At 37.3% G+C, this 26,651-nt stretch overlaps 1 long non-coding RNA gene across 1 annotated transcript in view; it reads right to left on the bottom strand.

Annotated features, from left to right (window-relative positions):
• Positions 1–2,736: 2,736 nt before the first annotated feature.
• The window catches only part of LOC105378061 (uncharacterized), a 30,866-nt gene continuing 6,951 nt past the window's right edge, over positions 2,737–26,651 (bottom strand). Inside the window, exons 3-5 of the long non-coding RNA XR_001744416.2 lie at positions 23,888–23,969; positions 23,441–23,512; positions 2,737–3,691 (exon numbers count right to left, since the gene is read on the bottom strand). This is a non-coding gene — a long non-coding RNA (uncharacterized LOC105378061). The remainder of the gene's footprint in view (positions 3,692–23,440; positions 23,513–23,887; positions 23,970–26,651) is intronic.

Raw genomic sequence — 26,651 nt, 5'->3', positions numbered from 1 at the left:
CTGTAATCTCAGCTACTAGGGAGGCTGAGGCAGGAGAATCACTTGAACCCAGAAGGTGGAGGTTGCAATGAGCTGAGATTGCACCACTGTGCTCCAGTTTGGGTGACAGAGCGGGACTCTGTCTCAAAAAAACAAACAAAAAATAAGTAAATAAAATAAAATAAAACAGTCAAACTCATAGAAGCAGACAGAATGGTGGTTGCCAGGGGTTGAAGGAAGGGCAAATGGGAGATGTTGGTCAAAGAGCACAAAGTTTTGGTTATACAAGATGAGTAAGTTCTGGAGGTCTAATGTACAGCTTTGGCTATAGTAAACGATACCGTACTGTACACTCGATATTTGTTAAGAGGGTAGATCTTAAGAGTTCTCATGAAAGAAAAACATGGTAGCTGTGAAATGATGGATCTGCTAATTAGCTTGATTGCAGTGATCATTTTATAATGCATGAATATATCACCTTAAATACATAAAATTTTTATTTGTCAATTATATCTTAATAAAGTTGACAAAAATTGTTTGAGGTGATATTTACCCTGAGGACGGCTGTGAGACTTCAGGCTGCAACTATAGTTTAGTCAGTGGCATTAGCAGTGACCAACATGCCTTGAGAAATAAACTTTCTAAAGAAACACACTTTAGGCTGGTTGCAGTGGCTCATGCCTGTAATCCAAGCACTTTGGGAGGCCGAGGCGGAGAGATCATCAGGTCAGGAGTTTGAGATCAGCCTGACCAATGTGGTGAAATCCCATCTCTACTAAAAATACAAAACTTAGCTGGGGATGGTGGCGTGTGCCTATAATCCCAGCTACTCAGGAGGCTGAGGCAGGAGAATCGCTAGAACTCGGAGGTGGAGGTTGCAGTGAGCCGAGATGGTGCCACTGCACTCCAGCCTGGTCGACAGAGTGAGACTGTGTCTAAAAAAAAAAAAGAAGCACACTTTAAATCAAGGTATCAAAGAATTCCCAGAGATAAATTCTAAGAAACATGAACTTAAAATTGGAAAAAAAGTCAGTATGCACACGTACTAGGCAGAATGACTTCCCAAAGATGTTCATTCCCTAATTTCTGGAACCTGTGAATGTCACATTACATGGAAAAGGGACTTTGCAGATGTAATTAAGGGAGATTATCCTGGATTATCTGGGGCAGGAGGGGCTCAAGTTAATCACATAAACTCTTAGAAGCAAAGAACTTCCTCTGCTTGGAGTCAGAGAGATGTGGTGGAAGAGAAGAGAGAGAGAATGAGCATGAGAGAGCGCCACATGGAAGGCAGAGAGATGATTCCCAGCATGCCCTGGCTGGTTCCAAAATGTGCAAAGACCAGAAAAAGGCTTATAGGAGCCAAGGGCAGCCCTCAACTGACAGCCAGCAAAGAAATGGGTATATTAGTCCTGCAGTCACAAGGACCTGAACTTAGACAGCAACCTGAATGAGCTTGGAAACAGATTCTTCTCCAGCACCTTGAGTAGTGGGTACAGCTCTGCTGACCTCTTGATTTTAGTCTTATGAGACCTGGAGCAGAAAAATCAGCTAAGCCACGCTGTGGCTTCTGAAAGTGTAATAGAATATAGTCATCGTAATAAGAAAAACAATCAAATGCTTAAGGAGATACTTAATTTTTATTGTATAATACCTATATCAAGAAAATGACAAAATTGAAATTGTTCATGAAAGAAAACTTAAATTTATAAAAAAAAGACACTATGCTCTTGGAATGGGAAAATCACATAAAGATATGTTTCTTCCATTATATTCAAAGTAATACTGAGGCAGGATAGGTCCGTCAAGGAAGTGACCATATTCTCAGGTCACTGTGGTGACCGTGCAGTCAACACAATAAGTCTCAGCATTCACATTGTAATTGAGCTCATTCAAGAACAGTTATCTTCAGTAGGAACTTTCCCCTCTAGAGAGGATGCTCATTTTGATTTTATCTGTCCTCAAACTGACCTTTTGCTCATTTTAATAGTAAAAAAGACACCCTTGGGTGGAGATTTAAGATGCTGATGAGACATGCTACATATGAAGAAACATGTACAGCTACTGCACATGTGCACCCCGAGGACCACCTAGAACATGCTTTCTAGTCACACCTCTTTCCACCTCCTTATGAATAATCATGGCTATCCCTAGTGCCAGTCTTTGCTGTCCCATCCTTATGAGCTTCCTGCCCTGAATTCTCTCTCTCTCAGGGTGCGCTACCTATTCCGCACTCAGCTTTCAAAATACTGTTTTCTTTTGCAATAAATTATGCTACACTTCTTTTGCTGTGTGTCTCTTGTTTGAATCCTTTTAAACTAAAAAGACAAGAACCGAGGTATTACATCAGCCTTCAAAAATACCAAAGATTAATTTACAAAGGTTTTGTTAAGAAAATGTATTTTATTGGATTTGATGTTTCCAAAGTTCTCATGAAAAAGTAAATATGCAAGAATGTTTAAATGAATATATACTTTGATGCATAAACTGCTCTCAATAGATCTATTCCATAGAAATATACCCACAGTTTACTATAACACAGGCTCTGGTCATAAAATTCAGTATCTTTGTGAAATAAATTTTTGAATTGCAAACAAATTAGAAACAGCCTAAATGTCTATTAATGGGGACCAGTTAAATCATATATGGTATGACTACACTGTCAAATTCTATGCATCAGCTTAGTAGATTTAGATAAAACCATACAAAACAAAATAGGACAATCTCTAAGACATATAGTTAAATGAAAAACCAGACTATGTAATAACATTTTTATTTGGTTAAAAAAGGCAGTTGAATAGGTGCGTAGTAAATATGATATGTTATTACATGAAAATACAAAGAAGAAAGCATCAAAATGTTAACAGTGATTAAGTCTGTGGAGGAAAATGGATATGGAGTGGAATGTTAAGGGGGATTTTTACTTTAACACCTTTTACAAATAAATTTTAATGTGTACCTTGAGTTATTATCTTTAAAAAGAAAATGTGATGCATTATTAGTTCATGAGGTTCAATTGCTCATTGTACCTCCAAAAAGCATTCTCTTCGTATCCCGGAAAATGGAATTTTAACTCTTGCATAGCCTCCCAGCTAAAGCCTAACGTTCCAGTATCCCACAGAACCAGGCGCAGCAGGCAATTAAGTGCTGGCCAATCAGACATAAACGGAAGTGCCAAGGGCCACTTCCTGGTCCTGACTTAACGTTAGGATAAATAACCCCTCTCCCTGCATTTTTCATTTCTTCTTGCTGGAATGCATATGATGTGGAAGTTGCTGGGCAGCCATCTAGGACCATGAAATGATAGCAACAAGTTGAGAATGGTAGAACCAAAAGAAGGGGGCTCCGGTTCCTGATAATTGGAGGTGCCATCCAGTCTGGATCTCCTACCAATGCCATTACATAGTAATAAATAATAGTAAGAAATACTATTATCTTCTTGGCCAGGCGCAGTGGCTCACGCCTGTAATCTCAGCACTTTGGGAGGCCGCGGCAGGTGGATCACGAGGTCAAGAGATCGAGACCATCCTGGCCAACATGGTGAAACCCCGTTTCTACTAAAAATACAAAAATTAGCTGGGCGTGGTAGTGGGCGCCTGTAGTCCCAGCTGCTTGAGAGGCTGAGGCAGGAGAATCACTTGAACGCGGGAGGTGGAGGTTGCAGTAAGCCGAGATCGCACCACCGCACTCCAGCCTGGCACAGAGTGAGACTCTGTCTCAAAAAAGAAAGAAAGAAAGAAATACTATTATCTTCTTTAAACCACTATTATTTGGGTTCTGTGTCACAGTAAGCAAAACTATATCTGCCCTACCATAATATTTACTGGTGCTTAACAATGGACTGGATAATACAGAATTTATAGAAGTAACTTATCTTAGCAAACCAAGCTTTTATGTGATAGATATGATGATATCACCATAATATGTAAAACTTTGATGGATTGTATATTCAAAACAAGAGTCGAAGCCATACTGAACAAAAAATTATCAAATTGGGGAAATATTCAAAGGCTATTCAAACATGCATGTGCACTGAGTTGTTTGCTGTCATTGATTTGCTATTTACAGTTACCTCAAATTTAAAGTGTATAGATCACTTGCTAAGTAAGTAATAAAGAATTTATTATAAAGTGCTTGGAAATGAAACTCTAGATACTCTTGTTTGACTTAAAAATAAAAGTGTTACTTCATTTACTGTCACTTGAAAGAAATGAAGAAACATTCAAAACTGTTTAGAATAGATTTGAAAATTTGGGAGGGAAATATCTAAAAAATCAATTAAAATGTCTTTATTATAAAAAATAAAATTTGAAGATAAACAGATTTTGGAAATTAAAATTTTTATCTACTATGTCTGAAGAAAGCTTTTTTTTTTTTCTTTAAAGTAACATGTTTTTTCAACCTATGGATACTATATTACAGATTTAATCTAGTATAGCGGTTAAGAGTGTGATCCCTGTGCAGATTTGAATCACAGCCCTGCCACTTCTTTTGTATGACCTTGAACAAGTTAAGTTTGTCTCTGTGTACCTCTGTTCCCTCACCTTTAAGCAAGTATCTTTACTGATTATAAGATTGCTGTAAGGGTTTAAATGAGTTATCACATATAAAAATATTTAGGTCCATATCCACCATACACTGATCTGCCACAAATGTGAGTTACAGTTTTTTATGAAATATTTATAGAAAAAGTGAAAAAAAATTTATTTATAACTTAAATGAAATGCAAAGGTAAATTAATCAATATCCAACTACTTAACATTTTGATGCAAATATTAAAGTTTGCATCAAAGTTTACTCCATATGTCTGCATGAGTTTAAGAGCTCTTTCATGGTTGAGTTCAAGAGTTCATTCATTGCTTGGGTTTGCCCAATAACTGCATCAAATAGACTGTTCAATATTTCCTTTGCATGTCCTCAAACTATAACCAAATTCGGGGAGAGGAGATGATCTGGCACTCATGGTGATGGGACAGGCATTGAGACTGTTGTGGTATGTTTTGTGCTGCTATAACAGAACACCTGAGCCTGGGTAATAAATAATGAACAGAATTTTATTGGCTCAGAATTCTAGAGGCTAAATCCAAGATCAAAAAGCATCGCCATGTGGCAAAAGCTTTCTTCCTATATCATCACATTGATAAAGAACTGCTGTGCTCCCAGCTAACCCCCCCCCCCAACACATAAGCCTGGAACTAAGTGAAAACAGCTGACCCCATTTTTCTGCCCAAATGTTGCCCTTTTGGCCGGCCACACCCCTATCCTGTGCCCATGAAAAGACTTCAGCTGGCAAAGCAGCACAAGCTGCTGAGCGGTGGGGATACAAGTGGCTGACTTCAGATGGTGCAGCTTCAGGGAAAGATCACCTTCTTCCCGTACCATCCCCTTTCCAACTCCCGTCCCACCGAGAGCCACTTCCATCACCCAATAAAATCCTCCACATACACCACCCTTCAATCCATTCATGTAATCTGATTCTTCCTGGATGCTAGACAGGAACCCGGGTGTCTAGAGGGCAGGGGCTTGGGTGCTTCTGCGGGGCCTGCTCAGAGCCTGCTTCCGCCAGAGAGGAGCGACCCGCAGGTTCCAGCGTTCCCTCAGGTTCGGTACTTGCTTACTTTCAAGCTCCCTCTAAAGGGGAGTGGTCAGCGGCCAGCTGAGTGAAATGAGCCTCTCTAGTTCCTGCCCACGAAGGGGGTCAGGGTCAAGGGAATAATCCCATCTCAACATGGCAGAAGGTAGAAGGGCAAGAGTGAAAGAGGGGAGTGAACTTGCCCTTTTATAGCATTAATCCCATTCATGAGGGCAGAACCCTCGTGACCTCATTAATGCTTAAAGGTTCCATTTCTTTCTTTCTTTCTTTCTTTTTTGAGACGGAGTCTCGCTCTGTCGCCCAGGCTGGAGTGCAGTGGCGCAATCTTGGCTCACTGCAAGCCCCGTCTCCCGGGTTCACTCCATTCTCCTGCCTCAGCCTCCTGAGTAGCTGGGACTACAGGCACCCGCCACCGCGCCCAGCTAATTTTTTGTATGTTTTTTTAGTAGAGACGGGGTTTCACCGTGGTCTCGATCTCCTGACCTCGTGATCCGCCCGCCTCAGCCTCCCAAAGTGCTGGGATTACAGGCGTGAGCCACCGCGCCCGGACCCAAAGGTTCCATTTCTTAATACTGTTACAATGACAATTAATTTTCAACATGAGTTTTGGAGGGGGCAAACATGCAAGCCACAGCAGGAAGCCACCTGGTAGGGCCTGAATAATTCACTACGGCTGGGTGAGTAGTGATGCTTCACTGATTTTCCCTCACTCATATGAATATTTGACTTAGCTCATATGAGCATAGTTTATAGTAGGGGTCCTACGGCCTAGGCGTATTTTAATAAGAAAATTGCTTTAGCATGACATGATTTGCTGTATTGAAATAATACAGGTTCCCAAAATGCATCTGAAAAATAGTGTTCATTCTTGAATACCCCTTAAGTCATTTATTTAAAAACTCATTCTAAAACCCATTAGGATTGATGGCAAATACTTATATTAAATTTTAGAAATCAATTTCATTTTTAAAATAAAAAGTTTCCGAGTTGCTCTGATTTTCTAAACCTACATTTGATAGATTGATATTCAAATTCTCATTAGGCTAGAATCCCAATTGCTCAGACCCAGAAGATATTACTGATTTGAAGCAGCTAAATATTAATATATAGTCTTTTGAGACACCAGACTTCAATTCTTTCTTTTCAATCTTTAGTTTCCCCTTTCAGTCTAAAGATCTGTATCCTTAACTAGAAAAAGAAAAAAGAGCTGAAGATTTTGGTTTCTTCACTGCATCATTGGCTTTTACTTCCTTTGACCTGGCTGTGATCACAAATTTTTAAAAATTATGTTATTAGATTTTCAAGTCTCATTTTGTGTTTTTTACATTTCTGTAAATGTGTAGCATATTCTTGTGCATATTTTTCTATTTTTCCTTACTTTTTCACATATTGCTTTAAAAAAAAAAAGGCTGGGCATGGTGGCTCACGCCTGTAATCCCAGCACTTTGGGAGGCCGAGGCGGGCGGATCACGAAGTCAGGAGATCCAGACCATCCTGGCTAACACGGTGAAACCCCGTCTGTACTGAAAATACAAAAAATTATCCAGGCATGGTGGCGGGTGCCTGTAGTCCCAGCTACTAGGGAGGCTGAGGCAGGAGAATGGTGTGAACCCGGGAGGCAGAGCTTGCGGTGAGCCGAGATTGTGCCACTGCACTCCAGCCTGGGGGACAGAGTGAGACTCTGTCTCAAAAAAAAAAAAAACAAAATAGAGACAAGGCCTCGCTCTGTTACACAGGCTGGAGTACAGTGGCACGATCATAGCTCACTGCACCCTTGACCTCCTCTGCTCAAGCAATCCTGCCACCTCAGCTTCTCAAGTAACTGGGACTACAGGTGCAGGCCATCACATCCAGCTTTTGGTTTGTTTGTATTTTGGTAGAGACGGGCTCTCACTTTGTTACCCAGGCTGGTCTCAAACTCCTGGACTCAAGTGATCCACCGGCCTCAACTTCTCAAAGTGCTGGGATTACAGGGATGAGCCACCACGCCTAGCCATATATTGCCTTTTTCCTGAGTTAGCTTCAGCTCCATTTTTCATAAAACCTTTTCTTATCCTTTTCTGAATTCCTGTTGAAATTTTAGTTAATTATGAAATTGTCTAACTGATTATTTTCTAAATGCCTTCCATAAGTTGAGTTTTTCTCCTCAGATCATGATGCATGCTGTGTGTCTCCTTCATATTTTAAAAATCTTACACTGTCTCTCTGGCATAAAATAGTTACTTAATAACTATCATATTTACCTTGTTTATTCAATAATTGATATGATGTATGACTTATTAACTATTTTGATTATTGAATATTAACTTAATAAAATTAAGTATTGAAATTAAAATAATACTAGTAATTTTCTATTATACACTTATACAAATATAATAAAAACAATGTATATTTAATGATGCATGATAAAGTTTGTTGATTCTTGAGAGAATGGAGTATAGCCTTATTGACAGTTTGAAGGCTTCTGAATGAAATATTAGAGCAAACTTAGAAAGTATCTTCATCTGAGAATTAAAATGTTCATTAAAAATCATTTTATTTCACAATCTACTATACTTACCCCATACTTCTCTAAATGGAATTCATCAGCAAAGGATTGTTTCACTTGCGTCCATGTGAAGAGACCATCAAACAGGCTTTGTGTGAGCAACAAGGCTGTTTATTTCACCTGGGTGCAGGCGGGCTAAGTCCGAAAAGAGAGTCAGCAAAGGGAGATAGGGGTGGGGCCGTTTTTATAAGATTTGGGTAGGTAAAGGAAAGTTACAGTCAAAGGGGGGTTGTTCTCTGGCGGGCGGGGTGGGGTCACAAGGTGCTCAGTGGGGGAGCTTTTGAGCCAGGATGAGCCAGGAGAAGGAATTTCACAAGGTTATCAGTTAAGGCAGGGACCGGCCATTTTCACTTCTTTTGTGGTGGAATGTCATCAGTTAAGGCAGGAACAGGCCATTTACATTTCACTTCTTTTGTGATTCTTCAGTTACTTCAGGCCATCTGGATGTATACGTGCAGGTCACAGGGGTTACGGTGGCTTAGCTTGGGCTCAGAGGCCTGACAGATTGTTTCTGTGACCTGTTTCTCTAGGTAGTTGCACATTTTTCATAGAGTGAGAGCCAGTAAAGTAGTGGGTTGTGCTGATCTGGGGATGTCCTTTAATTTTGCTGCTTTTTTCAGGCAGAGGTCCTTAGACTTAGAGGATTGGGTTGGCCATACTCATCCCTTCATAAGATGCTTCATCATCAGTTCATGCTTTCTAACATTCTTTTGTGTTTATTTTCACCCATCATTTATTATTATTGATTTACTCCTTTCATCCTCATTCAGCACTTCTATTTCCTTTGCTCTTGTTGTACTCGAGCGAGTTAGAAAAACGCCACACTTTGAGACGAATTAAGAGTCCTTTATTAGCCGGCGACTGAGAGACGGCTAACGCTCAAAATTCTCTCGGCCCGGAGGAAGAGGCTTGATTAACTTTTATATCTTGGTTTAGGACGGGGAGGGGGGTCTAGTTAAAACAATTTTAGAGAAGTAAAGTAGGCAAAAAGTTAAAAGGATAAATGGTTACAGGAAAGTAAACAGTTCCAGGTGCAGAGGCTTTAAGACTATTACAAGGTGATAGACGCGAGGCTTTGGGCGTTACCAATCAGACGAATTCTTGGGGACTGCGGGTATAGCTTGCCACAGTATCTTATCAGTTAATTGCATTCTTGGATGTGCTGGGATTCAGCTTGCACAAGTTAAGTCCTTGAGGAAGGGCTTGCCAACGAAAGAGCCAAGATGGAGTCTGTCTGGTTCTTTTAGCGAAGGGAGAGTCAATTCAGGTGGAAACAAGGCTAGGTGATTAAAGGAGAGGGAAAGTCTGAAAACAGGGTTAGTAAAAACCAGGTTGGGCATTACACTCCAACCATTATTCTAATGTGTGACCTATGTATCATTTACTTGGAATGATCCTCTAAAACATATAGAGGGTTTGAATGCATACATTTTTAATAGGCATCATTGTACTTTAAGCTTCATTTTGTCTCTTACCTTTTTCCACATGGCACTGTGTTTTTCAGTCCCATCCATTTTTCTGTGTGAACATCTGGTCTGTTGTATGGCAGTTATTCAATTCAATAGCTTTCTGTGGTGAGTGCAACCGTTTTTTACTTATTAATGAGGAACACATTTTAAAGGTCTCTTTCATAGACACACCTTGGGTCATATTTGGAGTCATTTGTTCCCTGCTCATTTTTATTGTCTTTTGTTTCTTTAAACATTTCATGCATAATCGTTGGAGTTAATTTTGATTCTGATTCCAAGTTCTTAGGATGTAAATGTAGTTTTTTGTCCTTTTAATCGAGTTTCATTCATACTTACTTACTTCCTCATGTATTTGGTCCTTTTTTTAGTTGTAAGTTCATGTTTGGCTGAAGATTATGAGAATCTTGAGTGGCAGGATTGAGGCTGCTTTCCTCTAGAATAGATTTGCATTTTTCTCTCTGCTGACGGTGAGTGTCCTTCCAACCTGGGACCACTTTAATTGTTATCATGGTGTAGCGTTTTTCCACAGGTGCTGTAAATTTTAAGCCCATACAGCATGAGGGCAGATCAATGATTACAAATTCTCAGGGAAAACAGCTCTCTGGAAGCCTTGGAGCTATAGCTGAGCAGAGCAGACGTTTTTCTCATTATCTCTCTTTGCCTACAGGCAGATTTTTTTTGACTACTCTTTCACTAAGGTGGAATTTTGTTAAGAATTGCAGCTTGATGCAAGGGTTTCAGGTTCCTCCTCTCCCCTCCCCTCCCTTCTCTCTCTTTCTCTTTGTTTCCTTTCCTTTTCTTTTTCTTTCTTTCTTTCTTTTCTTTCTTTCTCTTTCTTTTCTTTTCTTTCTTTCTTTCCTTCTTTCTTTTTCTCTTTCTTTCTTCTCTTTCTTTCTTCTTTTTCTTTCTTTCTTTTTCCTTCCTCCCTCCCTCTGTCCCTCTCTCTTCTTTCTTTCCCTTTCTTTCCTTCCTTCCTCCCTCCCTCCCTTCTTTCCTTTCCCTTCTACCCTCCCTCCCTTCCTTTCCCTTCTTTCCTTCCTCCCTCCCTCCCTTCCTCCTTCCTTCCATTTCTTTTCTTTTCTTTTCTTTTTCTTTCTTTCTTTCTTTCTTTCTTTCTTTCTTTCTTTCTTTCTCTTCTTTCTTTCTTTTTCTTCTTTCTTTCTTTCTTTCATCTTTCTTTCTCTCTGTCTTTCTTTCGTCTCTCTCTTTCTCTTTCTTCCGTCCTTCTGTCTTTCTTTGAGTCTTGCTCTCTCACCCAGTCTGCAGTGCAGTGGCATGATCTCGGCTCACTGCCACCTTTGCCTCCTGGATTCAAGCGATTCTTGTGCCTCAGCCTCCAGAGTAGCTGAGACTACAGGCATGTGCCGCCATACCTGGCTAATTTTTGTAGTTTTAGTAGAGACAGGGTTTCACTATTTTGGCCAGGTGGGTCTCAAACACCTGACCTCTAGTGATCTGCCCGCCTTGGCCTCCCAAAGTGCTGAGATTACAGACATGAGGCACCACACCTGGCCCAAGGCCTATCTTTCTTATATCCTGTCAAATCAAAATTTTCCAGACTGTAAATTCCTTCTTTCAATGTTTGTTCCTAACCAACCCTAACTTTAGAGCTTGCTTCCTTCTACAGTTTCAGTTCCCTATTGTTTGTTATGTCTGTTGTCATTAGTTGTTTTTGTTTTTGCCTTTGGACATGTCTCTTACTTTCCAGAGAGCTCAGAAATTCATTTAAAAGTATTGATTTTATTTTTATCCTAAGAGAAATGTTCATTGATTTGGAGGAATACAGGAGTGAAGAGAATGTGTGTGAGGGGAGGGGAGATGGAATAATTTCATTTCAGAAAGGTTTTTTTGTTTTTGTTTTTGTTTTTTGTCTGCAGAATGGAAACTAGACTGAGGGATGTGTAGCTGAGGAAAACAAGTAAATAAATATAGATGACTGCTATTGCACTCATTTGGGAAAAGTATTTTTTGTAATATGTTCTAACCTAGTGGCAATAGAGCTGTAGAAAACTCTCATATTCAACACATATTTAGAAGACAAAAATGAACAGATGTTGTTGAGAATTGGATGGGATCAATAGAACAGGATTGCTGGCATATGTAAATGATGGTTAAGGAGACCTGGATGAGGGTAGATTCTTGGAAAGGTCAATGGTTTAGTTTGGGGCAAGTTGACTTTAAGGTGTCTCTGGGATATTCAAGCAGAGATTTCAGTTAGGCAATTTCATATAATGTCCAGGGTTCTGAAGAGAAGTAGCTTGTGGATATAAACTTGAGTGAGTCTTTGTGTGTGTCATTATTTTTGCTTTGATGGTCATTGAAGAGATGGGTGTTGATGTGTTCAGTCTGAGAGCACATAGAGAGGAAAAAGTGATTCTAGGATTGAACTTCAAGAAACTGATACTTAAAATCTAGGTAGAGGAAGATGAGGCAGAAGGATAAGATAAAGGTAGCAGCAAAAGAGAGAAACCCAGATGGGTGTACTGGTATGGACGTTAAGGAGAAAATATATTTTAAAAAGAAAGTGAAACTCAATATAGTAAGGATATCAATTTTTCCCATTAATCTATAGATTTCATAAAATTATTGTCAAAATCTCAGCAAAATTTGTAGTAAACATAGACAAGTTTAATCTAAAATTTACATGGAAAGGCAGAGGCTACAGATTAGCTGAAACAATCCAAAAAATAATAATAAAGTTGAAGGAGTCACTCTACTCAATATTAAGGTTAACTACATAGCTTCAGTAATCAAGACGATGTGGCATTGGTGAGCAATAGACACACAGATCAAAGAACAGGATACAGACCCAGAAGTAGAAGCACACAAATATGCATAAGTGATTTTTTTTTATAAATGTACAAAAGCAATTCAGTGCAGGGTCATCTTCCAACAAGTAGTGCTGGAGCAACTGGACATCCGCAGACAAACAACAGCAAAATTTCAGCCCAAGTCTCATGCCTTGTGCAAAAATGACTAAAAATAAATTGCAGGCTTTAATGTAAAACTATGAGAATGTAAAATATATAACCAAAAAATGTGGATTTTTTTTAAAACATAGGAGTAAAAATTTGAAATCTAGGACTAAGTGAGGAATTCTTAGATTAGACACCAAAAGTATAATCCATAAAAGGAAAAATGTAAAAATTAGATCTCATCAAACTTTAAAATTTTTGCTCTCTGGAAAAAACCTGAGGATAAAAAAGGAAAGCTACAGATTTGGGGGAAATATTTGCAAACCATATATCTGACAAAGGACCAGTACAAGAGTGTTGATAGCAGCTTTACTCATAATAGCCCCAAATGGGAAATAATTTGCATGTCCTTCAATCAATGGGTAAATGGTCAAACAAATTGTGATATGTCCATACCATGGAATATTACTCAGCAATAAAAAGGGACAAATTGTAGTTCCATGCAACAGCTTGGTTGGATCTTGGGGGAATTATATTGCGTGAAAAAAGCCAATTCCAAAAGGTTATATAATGCGTGATTCTGTTTATAAGACATTCTTAAAATGACAAAATTTTAGAAATAGAAAACTGACTAGTGGTGGTCAGGTGTTAGGAATGGAGGGTGGGGGTGGGAGGGAAGTAAGTGTGGTTATACAAGAGCAATAGGAGAAAATCTTTGTGGTGATGGAACTGTTTTGTATCTTGACTGGTGGATACATGAACTTACACATGTGATAAAATTGCAGAGAAATAAGCAAATGCATGCACACACACATGCACATAGATGTATGTAAAGCTGGAAAAATCTAAATAAGATCAATGGATTGTATCCATGTCAATATCCCAGTCGTAATGTTGCACATTACAAAACTATAGTTTTGCAAGATGTTTCTATTGGGCGAAACTGGGTAAATGATTCAAGGGATCCCTCCATATTACTTCGTAGAACTGCATGCACATTTATAATTATCTCAAAATAAAAAGCTTAATTTAAAAAAAAGAATGAGAGTATAGAAATTCACTAGAAAAAATACACAATTGGATTTAGTAAGGAATTTCAATGCTTTCTGAAGACTGACATGAATGATGGCATGGTGAGTAAAAGAAGACAGAGAGAAGCTCATTAGGAATCAAATCCATCTACCTTGCCAAACCTCAAAGAACCTTGGGACATGAATATGCCTGATTTGAGTAAAAGTATGTGTGAGATATGGGAATGTAAATAAAGAGATTAACTATAAGTATGTTCCTTGTGCAGACTGCTCCCCATTTCCCCTACAAGTCCCCAGCCTGAGAAGAGCATCTGACAGCCTGGTATCCAGGCATTCTCCCATACCATGTCCCCAAAGCCCACTCCTCTACTGCCACTCTCCACTCCTCTCCCTCCTCACCCCTCCTCACCCACCCCTTCCTCACCCCAGGTAAAAAGTGATGTCCTTTCCAAAAAGGTTCTGTGAACTTTTTAGGGAAAAGCAAGACACCTAGTCTAGGGGGTCCATGCTCCAGAGTAAAGCCTATGAACCCTAGCATTTGTGGGATTTCATAGAGCAACAGCCATCTCCCCATCCACTCATAATAAAGCATAGGTCTTCTCTGTAAAATGAGGATTCTAGTAATATTTGGTGTATATGAGTATGGCAAGAATTAAATAAGGGAGTAGATATGAATCCAGATTCGCAACACGTAGCAGGCTATGCAAGGTTTGGTTAGTAAAAATACGGCAACAACGACAACAGTGTTAAATCTAAGGAGGAGAGAGCAAAATGGAGAGCAGGGCTGAAGACACCAGGTGGGAGTGGGGAGTGACTAGAGATGGCTAAAGTGCTAAGTGCAGTGGCTACCGCAGCCCATAGTCCTCTCTTCTCAATGCAGCCACTCCTGCTACGCCCCTTCCACCCTCACTCAGGTTTTCACTTGGCCAGAGGGTGCTCCATGGTTTTGTTTTCATGAGGATTCACATTCAGATCACCTGCCCAGATTCTTTCTGTGCCTGTCTGCCGTGACATCAAGGCAGCTGGTAGAGTTGGAATCAGGAACTCTTTCCTCCTCTCAAATAATTGGAATGTTGGAAATGACTCTAAGGAGTGAAGGAGGTAAGCATCTCTTTTTTTTCCCCCTTCCATAATCTCTTCTGAGACACCAGACCCTGGGCTAGACTTTCTCGTCGACATTCAGGTACTAAAGGAGTCACTGGTGGTCATTGAACTCCAGTGAGCCTTTTTCCTAACCAGTAAAAAGGGCTCCAACAATTTAATCTAAAGCCAGTATCACTAAATTCTATTTGCCTTAAAAGCTCATTTTACATAATAATTAGTTACCAAGTGCCAAAGGCCTTACAATAGAACACTTCTATGGGAAACCATAAGAGCTTCATTTTTATCTTTAAAGTCAGTTCTAATTTGTATTTCTTCTTAAATATAACAATTTAGACTCCCACCAACAATGTAAAAGTGTCCCTATTTCTTCACATCCTCTCCAGAATCTGTTGTTTCCTGACTTTTTAATGATTACCATTCTAACTGGAGTGAGATGGTATCTGATTGTGGTTTTGATTTGCATTTCTCTAATGACCAGTGATGATGAGCTTTTTTTCATATGTTTGTTGGCCACATAAATATCTTCTTTTTAGAAGTGTCTGTTCATATCCTTTGCCCACTTTTTGATTTTTTTTTTTTTTTTGTAGATTCTGGATATTAGCCGTTTTTCAGATGGATAAATAGCAAAATTTTTCTCCCATTCTTTAGGTTGCCTGTTCACTCTGATGATAGTTTCTTTTGCTGTGCAGAAGCTCTTTAGTTTAATTAGATACCATTTGTCAATTTTGGCTTTTGTTGCCATTGCTTTTGGTGTTTTAGTCATGAAGTCTTTGCCCATGCCTATGTCCTGAATGATATTGTCTAGGTTTTCTTCTAGGGTTTTTATGGTTTTAGGTCTTACTTTTAAGTCTTTAATCCATCTTGAATTAATTTTTGTATAAGGTGTAAGGAAGGGGTCATTTCAGTTTTCTGCATATGGCTAGCCAGTTTTCCCAACACCATTTATTAAATAGGGAATCCTTTCCCCATTGCTTGTTTTTGTCAGGTTTGTCAAAGGTCAGATGGTTGTAGATATGTAGCGTTATTTCTCAGGCCTCTGTTCTGTTCCATTAGTCTATAAATCTGTTTTGGTACCAGTACCGTGCTGTTTTGTTACTGTAGCCTTGTAGTATAGTTTGAAGTCAATTAGCATGATGCCTCCAGCTTTGTTCTTTGTGCTTAGGGTTGTCGTGGCTATACTGGCTCTTTTTCAGTTCCATATGAAATTTAAAGCAGTTTTTTCTAATTCTGTGAAGAAAGTCAATGGTATCTTGATGGGGATAGGATTGAATCTATAAATTACGTTTGGCAGTATGGCCATTTTCATGATATTGATTATTCCTATCCATGAGCATGGAATATTTTTCCATTTGTTTGTGTCCTCTCTTATTTCCTTGAGCAGTGGTTTGTAGTTCTCCTGGAAGAGGTCCTTCCCATCCCTTGCAAGTTGTATTCCTAGGTATTTTATTCTCTTTGTAGTAATTGTGAATGGGAGTTCACTCATGATTTGGCTGTCTATTATTGGTGTATAGGAATGCTTGTGATTTTTGCACATTGATTTTGTATCCTGAGACTTTGCTGAAGTTGCTTATCAGCTTAAGGAGATTTTGGGCTGAGATGATGGGGTTTTCTAAATATACAATCATGTCATCTGCAAAAAGAGACAATTTGACTTCCTCTCTTCCTATTTGAATACCCATTATTTCTTTCTCTTGCATGATTGCCCTGGCCAGAACTTCGAATACATTGTGGAAGACAGTGTAGCAATTCCTCAAGTTTCTAGAACCAGAAATACAATTTGACCCAGCAATCCCATTACTGGGTATATACTCAAAGGATTATAAATCATTCTACTCTAAAAACACATGCACACGTATGTTTATTGCAGCACTGTTCACAATAGCAAAGACTAGAACCAACCCAAATGCCCATCAATTATAGACTGGATAAAGAGAATGTGGCACACATACACCATGGAATACTATGCAACTATAAAAAAGGATGAGTTCGTGTCCTTTGCAGGGACATGGATGAAGCTGGAAACCACTATTCTCAGAAAACTAACACAGGAACAGAAAACCAAACACCACATGTTCTCACTCATGAGTGGGAGTTGAACAATGAGAATACATGGACACAGGGAGGGGAATATCACACACTGGGGCCTGTCGGGGACTGGGGGGCTAGTGTAGGGATACCATTAGGAGAAATACCTAATATAGATGACGGGTTGATGGGTGCAGCAAACCACCATGGCACATGTATACCTCTGTAACAAACCTGCACATTCTGCACATGTATCCCAGAACTTAAAGTTTAATAAACAAAAATTAGTTTTTAGCTAAAACTTGCATTCTGTTATTAGTAAGTTTTCCAGCAGCCTACCACTATTTATGATTTTTCTGTTTATATTCTGTTTATATTCTTGTTTTAGGAGCTGGCACGTGTCTTGACTACATCACTGGCATTTTACATCCTTGGTTCTTTGCCAACTGATTTCCTTCTTTCATTCCTTCCACTCTTTCCTCCATGTTTGCTTCTCTGAATTTAAATTTCTTCATTTGTTAATAGGGGTGACAATAACACTCATCACACAGAACTGAGAAGTGATCTAATGAAATGACCCATTTAAAGCATTTCGATCATTAGGTCAGTATACAGCAGCTGTAATTAGTGCCTGATATACACAAAGTCCTATTATTAATGTCTTATGAAAGAATTTGTATTAGAAAATCTCTAAGCTATTCTAGCTATTATTTTGACCTAATTTTATGGTAATTATTATCTAATTATAGTGAGTTCTTGTGTATTTTTTAAATGTCAGGCTATTAATATGAGAAGATAGTTATTTAAAATGAAACAATGGTAGTGGACTTTAACAGAGACAAAACGGGTTTATTCAATGTCTCAATCAGTATCTTTGTAGAAATTATATTTATGCAATAGCACTGAAAATTAAATGACTAGTAGAAACTGAGAAAAAGGAAACAGTAAAACAACGGTAGAAAATGTTTTCAGTAAATGTTACATTTGAACATATATTATTAATTTTTACATGGGAATAGTAGCATGATTTAATGCTTTTGAATAATTTAAAATAATTTTACCTTGAAAAAATGTAGGTAAACAATAAAGAAGATAGTTTGCGTTTTCCCATAGGAAGAAAAAATACGTCTTTATTATACCAATTTGTTCCAGGGGAATTGATGACATGTAGAAGCATATGTCTAACTGGCTCAGATAAATCGTCCAGATACAAAATGTTCCCAATAGCGTTGTCTACAGAATGTACTTTTTTGTCATCAATAAAAATGCTGTCTGAGCTTTGGAAAGGTACCATAGTAAATATAATAATGAATTTTTTTTCCTCTGACTTTTGCTTCCATCAGTCTCTTCTCTGTCTCTTACTGGTCATTGAAATTTTGAAAGCAAAATGCAAGCCAGTGCTGAAGTAGTTGTTTTTAAGCATATTAAAGACTCATTTCCTCTTACTTGGTTCACACCCTTATGAGAGGAATTCCAGGGAAGGACACAGTAGAGAAATATCCTTGAAAGTGTGTGTGTAATCAGTGGATATGTATTCCACTGGGAGTGATTTTTTTTTTTTTATCACACACAGTTTACATTAGTGGGTAATGAATCCCCAAAAATCCAAAGTTCTCAATTTCCAAATACTTTTCATCTCCTAACTGAGATTGTGTTAAACACTCTGAAGTGCAAACTATTGCTTGAAACAACTCTGGTTTATTATTATAACCTGAATTAACCCTCATCAAACTAATTTTAGGTGTATCATACAGGCAATAGATATGCTTCCTTAAAAATAATGGTAATCTTTTAATAACACTTGGGAGTTCATGATTTAAGGGAGCTTTTAGAGGATTGTTTTTGTAACATAATGACTAATTTTATAATAGAAAAGAATCAAATAAGGGACACTTTACAATAAGATAGAGATGTATTGTGTGGGTCTATATTTTTACATAACTTTAAATTTTATTTCTTTTTTTTTTTTTTGAGACGGAGTCTCTCTCTGTCACCCAGCCTGGAGTGCAGTGGCGCCATCGCGGCTCACTGCAAGCTCTGCCTCCCGGGTTCACGCCATTCTCCCGCCTCAGCCTCCCGAGTAGCTGGGACTACAGGCGCCCACGACCACGCCCGGCTATTTTTTTTTTGTATTTTTAGTAGAGACGGGGTTTCACCATGTTAGCCAGGATGGTCTCGATCTCCTGACCTCGTGATCCGCCCGCCTCGGCCTCCCAAAGTGCTGGGATTACAGGTGTGAGCCACCGCACCCGGCCAATATTTTCAACTTATGATAGGTTTATTGGAGTAAGTCCAAGAGCATCTGTACATGTTAACATGTAATTTTTGACATGGAGATAATAACCCAGGGTGTAGAAGGTATAACCTCAGCCTCTTTGCACCATATAACCACGGAACATACAGACAGAAAGAAATGATGCTCTGCAACAAGGAAAATAAGCTGTGAAGTAGTGGTGTTAAAGGAAACCCTTTACATTACACTTTGATGCTAATTGTCTCAATTAAAGACAAAAATGTTACCTTTTTCACATTAAGTGAAAAGAAGCTAGACATGAACAAAGATACATTGTGATGCCATAATATTGCTCTTAGAAATTGACATTTCAAAGTGATTGCCATTAACACTCATTACTATGGATACAGTCAAGAATTCATTTTTTCTGTCCTTCTAACAATGGTTTCAAAGTGGCTGAGCGGAACGGAAGACCTGAAAGTGGGCCGGTGATGCTATAATACTGGAATAATTATAAAACAATCACAAGAAAGCTTGTTTATTCTATAACCACATTATCCTATACGGTGGCCATATTTGTCCATTTAAATGTAAGTTAATTAAGACTAAATTAAATTAAAATTCAGTTTTTCAGTAATGCTAGTCATGCTTCATATGCTTGTAGCTAGCAAGCTTTCATTCACTTGTAACTAGCAGCTGCCATATGGACATCATAGATACAGATTTCCATCAGCACAGAAAACTCTACTGGACAGTGCTGTTTTATAATCACCAGATTTTTTTAAGTTACCCATGAAATTATGTATTACGTATTTGAGGTTATCCGTATTCTGTAAAATAGCAATGACATAGTAGAAATATTCTTCTATAGTATTGAAAGGCTCTGTAACCTCATGAGAAGAACACAAAATTCAGACTCACATAAGTCTAGATTCTAATCTTAACTCTGCTGACTGACCTTGGACATACTACTTTTTGTTTCTAAGCTTTTGTTCCTTCATTTGCAAAATGAGGTAGCAAAATGCTTGCCTCATAAGAAGTTTATAAATATCAGAAATAACATACGTAAAGGTGCTTCCTATGGTGCCTGACACATAGTTGGTATTAACTTATGGTTGTTATTGTTTTTATTAATTAACAAAGGAGAAGACAGTAAAGCTGTCGGTGGTCACAGACACAAGTCATACTTTTGCATAAAAGGTGAATCTTTATTTTCTAGAAAACGTATCTTATAAGCTCAGTTCATTTTCATAGTATCACACCAAAAATGTTTGTGATCATAGTAATCACAGAATAGTGAGGAAATGACCAAGCAAGGATAGGAAAATATATAACCACAAAGGAATCAGTGAGTCAGGAAGAGGATAACGAGAATTTTAAATGGTATGAAGCGGAAAAGACAGAGATAATAAAGAAGGACACAAATATGCAAGAATAGAAAGGAAGAAATAATCTCAGATACAGTTCCTCCTGGAAATATACCAGAAAGATATGTGAAAACATAATGACACAATCAAATAGGGAAGGGAAAATGATTTCTTACTACAAGACTGTGAGGAAACAGCTTTTCTATAAAATTATTTTTCCTGTGCTAGAGAAGCATATAAATCTAAAAGATTAAAGAGAAAAAAAGAAGGCAAAACTGCTGCAGAACATCTACTTCTGGTGTGTTTTTAACCTTATGCATGTTCTTCTAAACTGAAGTGCCACTGTTTTTAACACATAATATGAGTAAGATGAATTAGATATTTAATCCCTCCAGATTTAGTATATATTGTTCATGGTAAGAAGTTTGGCTTTGACGACCAAAATGTGCACTCTCTGAGAAGTTTCATCACAAAAAGGCACTCCTGTAAAGTCATGTGCCTCAATTGCCAGGAGGGGCATATATGAAGGATAACACAGTAATGGAGAACAGAAGAGTCACATGTCACTGTGGCCAAAGCTTCCATAATGGAGAATTAAGGAGTCAATGTGATAAAGCTGCAGAGCTAGGGAGGGATCTCAGGCATTGCCTGTATATTCCATGGGGAAAACCAGCTGCTTGAATTTAACCTGGACACTGGAAGAGATAAGGTGTTTGGAAAGGAAAGCAAATCAGCCCTTTTATATAAGACTGGGGCTTTTTAACATCCAGAATTTGGATGAAACAAGAAGCAGAGTGAAAAATTTGGGCAGAAAATTTTGAAACAGCCCAGAGTTCTCAGACTCAGCAATAAATTTCCATTTGATCTGGGGAAGTAAAGTCAAGATCAAATAAAGATAAAATTGAGACCTATTAATATAACCCAACATGTGTGTATTGAATCCCCATATTTGGCATAAAAGTATCAAGTACTGAGGATGCAATGATGACCAAAACTATCACAACCCCAGCCTTTTGAAACTTAACCATCTGTGTCTAAAAACAGGTAATTTTATTTCAATCACTGTTAATATTGTTAGTTTAATAAACATATATATTCTTATTGATAAAGGCATTTGTTTGGAAAAATCAGTCATATAAAGAGCCTATTGTAAAACCTTATCCACCATCTAAGTACTGCAAGGAGTTAATGAAACTCACCAGAAGATGGCAATACATAACCTCCTATCTCTGCTGTTATAATTGCTAAGGCCAAAAGGTAAACCTAAAAACTCCTATGACACCTCTATTACAATTGCAAATAACACTTTTTATTTTAGTTGTTTGCATCAGGCATGCTATGTATATTATGATCACGAGGCAGTATAAGTATTATCAGATTTACAGGATTTTATTGATAAGTAGGTAGCTAAAAAGTGCAATGTTATAAAAATCTCAGATCTGAAGGCCCATAGCAAGACATCTCTTTGGTCTACTTGCTCTCTTTACCCTTTTCTTATTTTGAACAATGTAGAAGATTCAACAATGGCAAAATTTATGAATATAAAGTATTAATACAATTGTCCTATAAAAATTAGTTGTTTTTACATTTGAAACTTTAGCCTCAATATGTATGTATTGTATCATAAAAATATTCAAGTGTTTTTTATTTTTCTTGAAAGGCAATTCAAAATTTTAGCTTTAATTAGTTATGCAAAGTAGGTTTTGTTTTCCATTTTAAACTCAAAATAAAAATATTTCAGTTATTTCGTCAGTTTGTTTAATGGAACCAGCTAAATATTCAACTATTGAAGTCAACTGAGTTATCCTTAATATGAATATAGCAATAATAATCTAAAATCATGAGTGAATCAGTCATATTCATTAAAATGTGGAAGAAACCTATTATCTATTCAAGCAGAAAAGTATTATTACCCTAGACATCTAAAAGTGGTTGAATAATAAGGATTTGTGTTTAATTTCAGCTGATGTTGTGGTTGATTAGAGTTAAAACTCTAAAAAAAAGGGAGACATAATAAAAACTGTAAAAGTTTGCTCTTCTCTTTATGGAAGTAAAAAATACACTATAGCTCCCAATAGAGATAGGTTGAATAGGCCTATCTCTATTTTGTAAAAATAGTTTGTAAAAAATAAATGCACTAAAGTTCTTGTGTACTATGTAGAAAATGGCCAAATACTCAAGCAGTATTTGTTGCATTTCTTCCAAACTTAACACTAAAATACATTAGAGCACCAAAACCAGTCAAAATTGTGGGAATGAAACTCAAACAACATCCATAATTTAGGAGAAATTTTAGTCACTATAAAATGATGGAACTGGATAAGAAATGAAATCAGTGACTTATCATTGTTCTGACATACTAAAAAACAGAAAGAATGGTTTTCCCCTTCTCTGCAAAGGGAAGTTCTATTTTTGTGGTGAATCCAGAAAACCAGGCATGCATTATTAATGGGAGTAATAATAATAACAAAAAAATTTTTACAGATTTGAAAAAAGATTTAACTAAGTAGCTCAAAAGTATATATTTTTACAGGCAAATCAATTTGTAATCCAGATGTCCTGATTTTTGTTAATGCTATATCTACCCTTGATTCATTAAGAGTAATATTCTATATCTTGAAGGTGTACCATCTCTAATGAGCAAAAATTCCTGACTGTGCCATAATTTTCCTCTCCATTGATATTTCCAGGAATCCTTTGAAAAGTTATCAGTTATAATATGAATCCATAAATATTACCAAATTTGATGAGCAGCCTCTGTCAAACTTTAAATAAGAGTTAATAAACCAAGTAATTTAAGTTTAAATTTATTAAATATATAAGGATAAGCAGTAAGAAAAATAATATGATATTGCTGTAAGTAGGCTAGATAATAGGAGGAAAAGAAGAAAAAATACACTAAATCTGCATTGCTCATATCTAAGAGTCAATAGATACTGTCTAAACATATAGAGACTATGGAAATACTAAATAGAGTTAGGTAGATGTAACATCAGCAAGATAGTGGAGTAGGCAATCTCAGCCCTTGTCTTTCTACAAAAACAGTAACTTAACCACTATTCGTAGGCCAAAAATAACTCTGGGAGAGGTCCAGAGTCTAATAAAGAAGCTGTACCAAGCCCGTGGAGCACAAAAACTGAGGATCGCCTCATAGAAAACAGTAGGAAGCATTTTACCTGTGTAACCTCATATCTCAGGCCTGCATAGCTCAGCATCAAGAGAAATCTTCTTGGTTGCCACTTCATCCCCTGGTGAAAAAGGAGGATAGAAAGATACCGTGGTCCTTACCACTGCCACAGATAACCACAGCCTTCACCACAGAAAATCCCCACAGTCTTTGCCAATGCAGATCTCAGCTAATTGAGCTACACGGAGTCCATGCCATTGTGCCCTGCCCTCCTGCCCTGGCACCACCACATGCACAACCATCCCTCAAATCTGATGCCATCCACCCTGGATCTGATGCTGCCCATATCCTTTGAACCAAATGTCAATGCACCCCAAATCAGATCCATCACTACTGTGTGCCCCCAGAACCAGTGTCCCTGTGGATCCCTGAAACTGGTGCCCGCAAATGTCCCCAAAATTTGTGCATCCCACCCACCTAGCATCCTTGTACTCACCAGCATGTGAAGATCTTTCCTCATAGAAGTCAGTTCATAAAGTCTGGAAAAGGTCAGTGTTCCATCAAATACACAGACAAGCCTTTGAATAACAAGAAAAATCAGGAAAATATAACATCTCCAAAAGAGCATAGTAAATTTCCAGTAACCAACACCAAAGAAATGGAGATCTATGAATTGCAAAATGAAGAATTCAGAATAGTTTTTCTTTCTTTTTCTGAGGTGGGCTCTCACTCTGTCACTCAGGTTGGAGTGCAGTGGCACAATCTCAGCTCACTGCAACCTCTGCCTCTCAGGCTCAAGTGGTCCTCCCACCTCAGCCTCCTGAGTAGCTGGAACTACAGGCATGCACCACCATGCCCAGCTAATTTTGGTGTGTTTTGGTAGAGATGGGGTTTCACCATGTTGCCCAGGCTGGTCTTGAACTCCTGAGCTCAAGCAATCCACCCACCTTGGCCTCCCAAAATGTTGGGATTGCAGGAGTGAGCCGCCATGCCTAGCCTTCAAAATAATTGTTTTAAAGAGGCTTAGTGAGTTACAAGAGAATACAGATAGACAACTCAACAAAATCAAGAAAACAATACATGAAAAAAAGAGAAGTCCAACAAATAGATAGAAATCATAAAAAAGAACTAAACAAGTTGTGGAGTTTAAAAATTCAATGAAAGGAGTTTAAAAAATAAAGAGCTTCAATGGTTGACCCAATCAAACAGAAAAAAGAATAAGTGAACTCAAAGACAGATCGTTTGAAATTATCAAGTCAGAGAAGAAAAAAAATAATGAAAAAGAGTGAAGAAACCCTACAGTACTTATGGGACACAAGCAAGCGAACTAACTTATGCCTACAGGATACCCAGAAGGAGAAGAGAGAGAAAATAGGGAAAGATGGTTATTTGAAGACATAATGACCAAAAAGGTTCCAAATCTGGGGAAGAAAATAGACCTCTAGATTTATGAAGCTCAACATTTCCAAAGAGGATTAGCCTAAAGAAGACTCTTTCAAGACATTATAATCAAATCATTATAATAAAAATCAAGGAAAAAGAGAACTTTAAAAGCAGTAAGAGAAAAACAACTCATCACATATAAGGAAATCACTATAAGACTATCAATGGATCTCTCAGCAAAAAAAAAAAAAAAAAAAAATACATATATATCTATGGCAAGCCAGAGGAGACTTATATTACAAAAAATACTTGAAGGAGTTCTTTAAATTGGAACAAAAACACTCTGCAAGGAACATAACATACAAAAGCATAAATTTCACTGGTAAAGATAAACACATGGACAAATACAGAATAATGTAACACTGTCGTGGTGGTACATAAGTTATTTTAACCCTAATATAAAAGCTAAAAGATAAATATTTGTTAATGGACACAATATAAAAAGAAATTAACTCTGGCCACAAAAATACAAAGTATGAAGGTGGGCAATAAAAGTGTAGAGTTTTGTATGTGATTCAAGTTAAGTTGTCATCAATTTAAAATAGATGGTTATAACTATAAGATATTTTATGGAAGCCTTGAAGTAATCACAAAGGAAAAAAATACCTATAATAGATACACAAAGTATAAAGAGAAAAGAATCAAATCACTCACCCAAAAATATCAAATAATAAAGGAAAAAAGCAAGAGAGAAAGAGAGAAACAACACAAATGCAAAACACACAGAAAACAATTAATGAACTAGCAATAGTAAGCCCTCACTCATCAATAATTACTTAAAATGTAAAGATATTAAACTCCACAATCAAAAGGCATGGAATGGCTGAATAGATTTAAAATACAGGGTCCAGTAAAGTGCTGTTTACTAAAGACTCACTACAGATTTAATGAAACACATAAAATGAAAGTAAAAGGATGAAAAGGTGCACATGGAACATTCTCCAGGATATATAATGTTAAATTACAAAACAAGTCTCAACAAATTTAAGAAGATTGACATCATGCTACATAACTTTTCCAACCACAATGGAATAAAACTGGAAATCGATAACAGTAAGAAAATCAGCATATTCACAAATACATACAAAATAAACAACACGAATATGTGGAAATTGAATCAAAGACAAAATCAAAAGGGAATTTTAAAAATACCTTGAGACAAATGAAAATGGAAACACAACACATCAAAACTTAAGGGATGCAGCAAAAGTAACACTAAGAGGGAAATATATAGCCATAAACACCTATAATAAAAAAGAAGAAAAATTTGAACTAAGCAACCTAACTTTACACCTCAAGGAATTAGAAAAAGAAGAACTAAGCCCAAATTTAGCAGAAGGAAGGAAATAATAAAGACATACACACAAACAAGCAAGATTAACAAATTATCATGATAGAATAAAGATGAACTACATCTTTTATATGAAGAAATGCAAATAGTCTAAACTTATCTATTAATGAAAAGAAATTTCAGATTGACTCTCAAAACAAAATTTGAGTCTGTTGTATACAAGAGATACATTTAAAATAGAATAACTCTGAAAGTTTGAAGTATTTTTAAATAAGCAAAAAAGTACCAAGCAAATATTAACAACAAAAATAACAAATTCACACTCTTGGTATCAGACAGGGTAAATTAAAGTAAAAAAAAAAGCATTAAACAAAACAGAAAAGTATCTTATAACTATAGAGTGAGAAATACACAATGAAATTATGACAGCTATGGGATGTTTATCAACTAATATCACATCAGAACTCATTAAGCAAAATGTAAACCACAGGAAATAAAAAGAAAATAGAAACACATTAGGAATGGA

Source organism: Homo sapiens, chromosome 6 (genome assembly GCF_000001405.40).
Source record: "Homo sapiens chromosome 6, GRCh38.p14 Primary Assembly".
Taxonomy (NCBI): Eukaryota; Metazoa; Chordata; class Mammalia; order Primates; family Hominidae; genus Homo; species Homo sapiens.
This window is presented reverse-complemented; position numbering and strand designations above follow the sequence as displayed.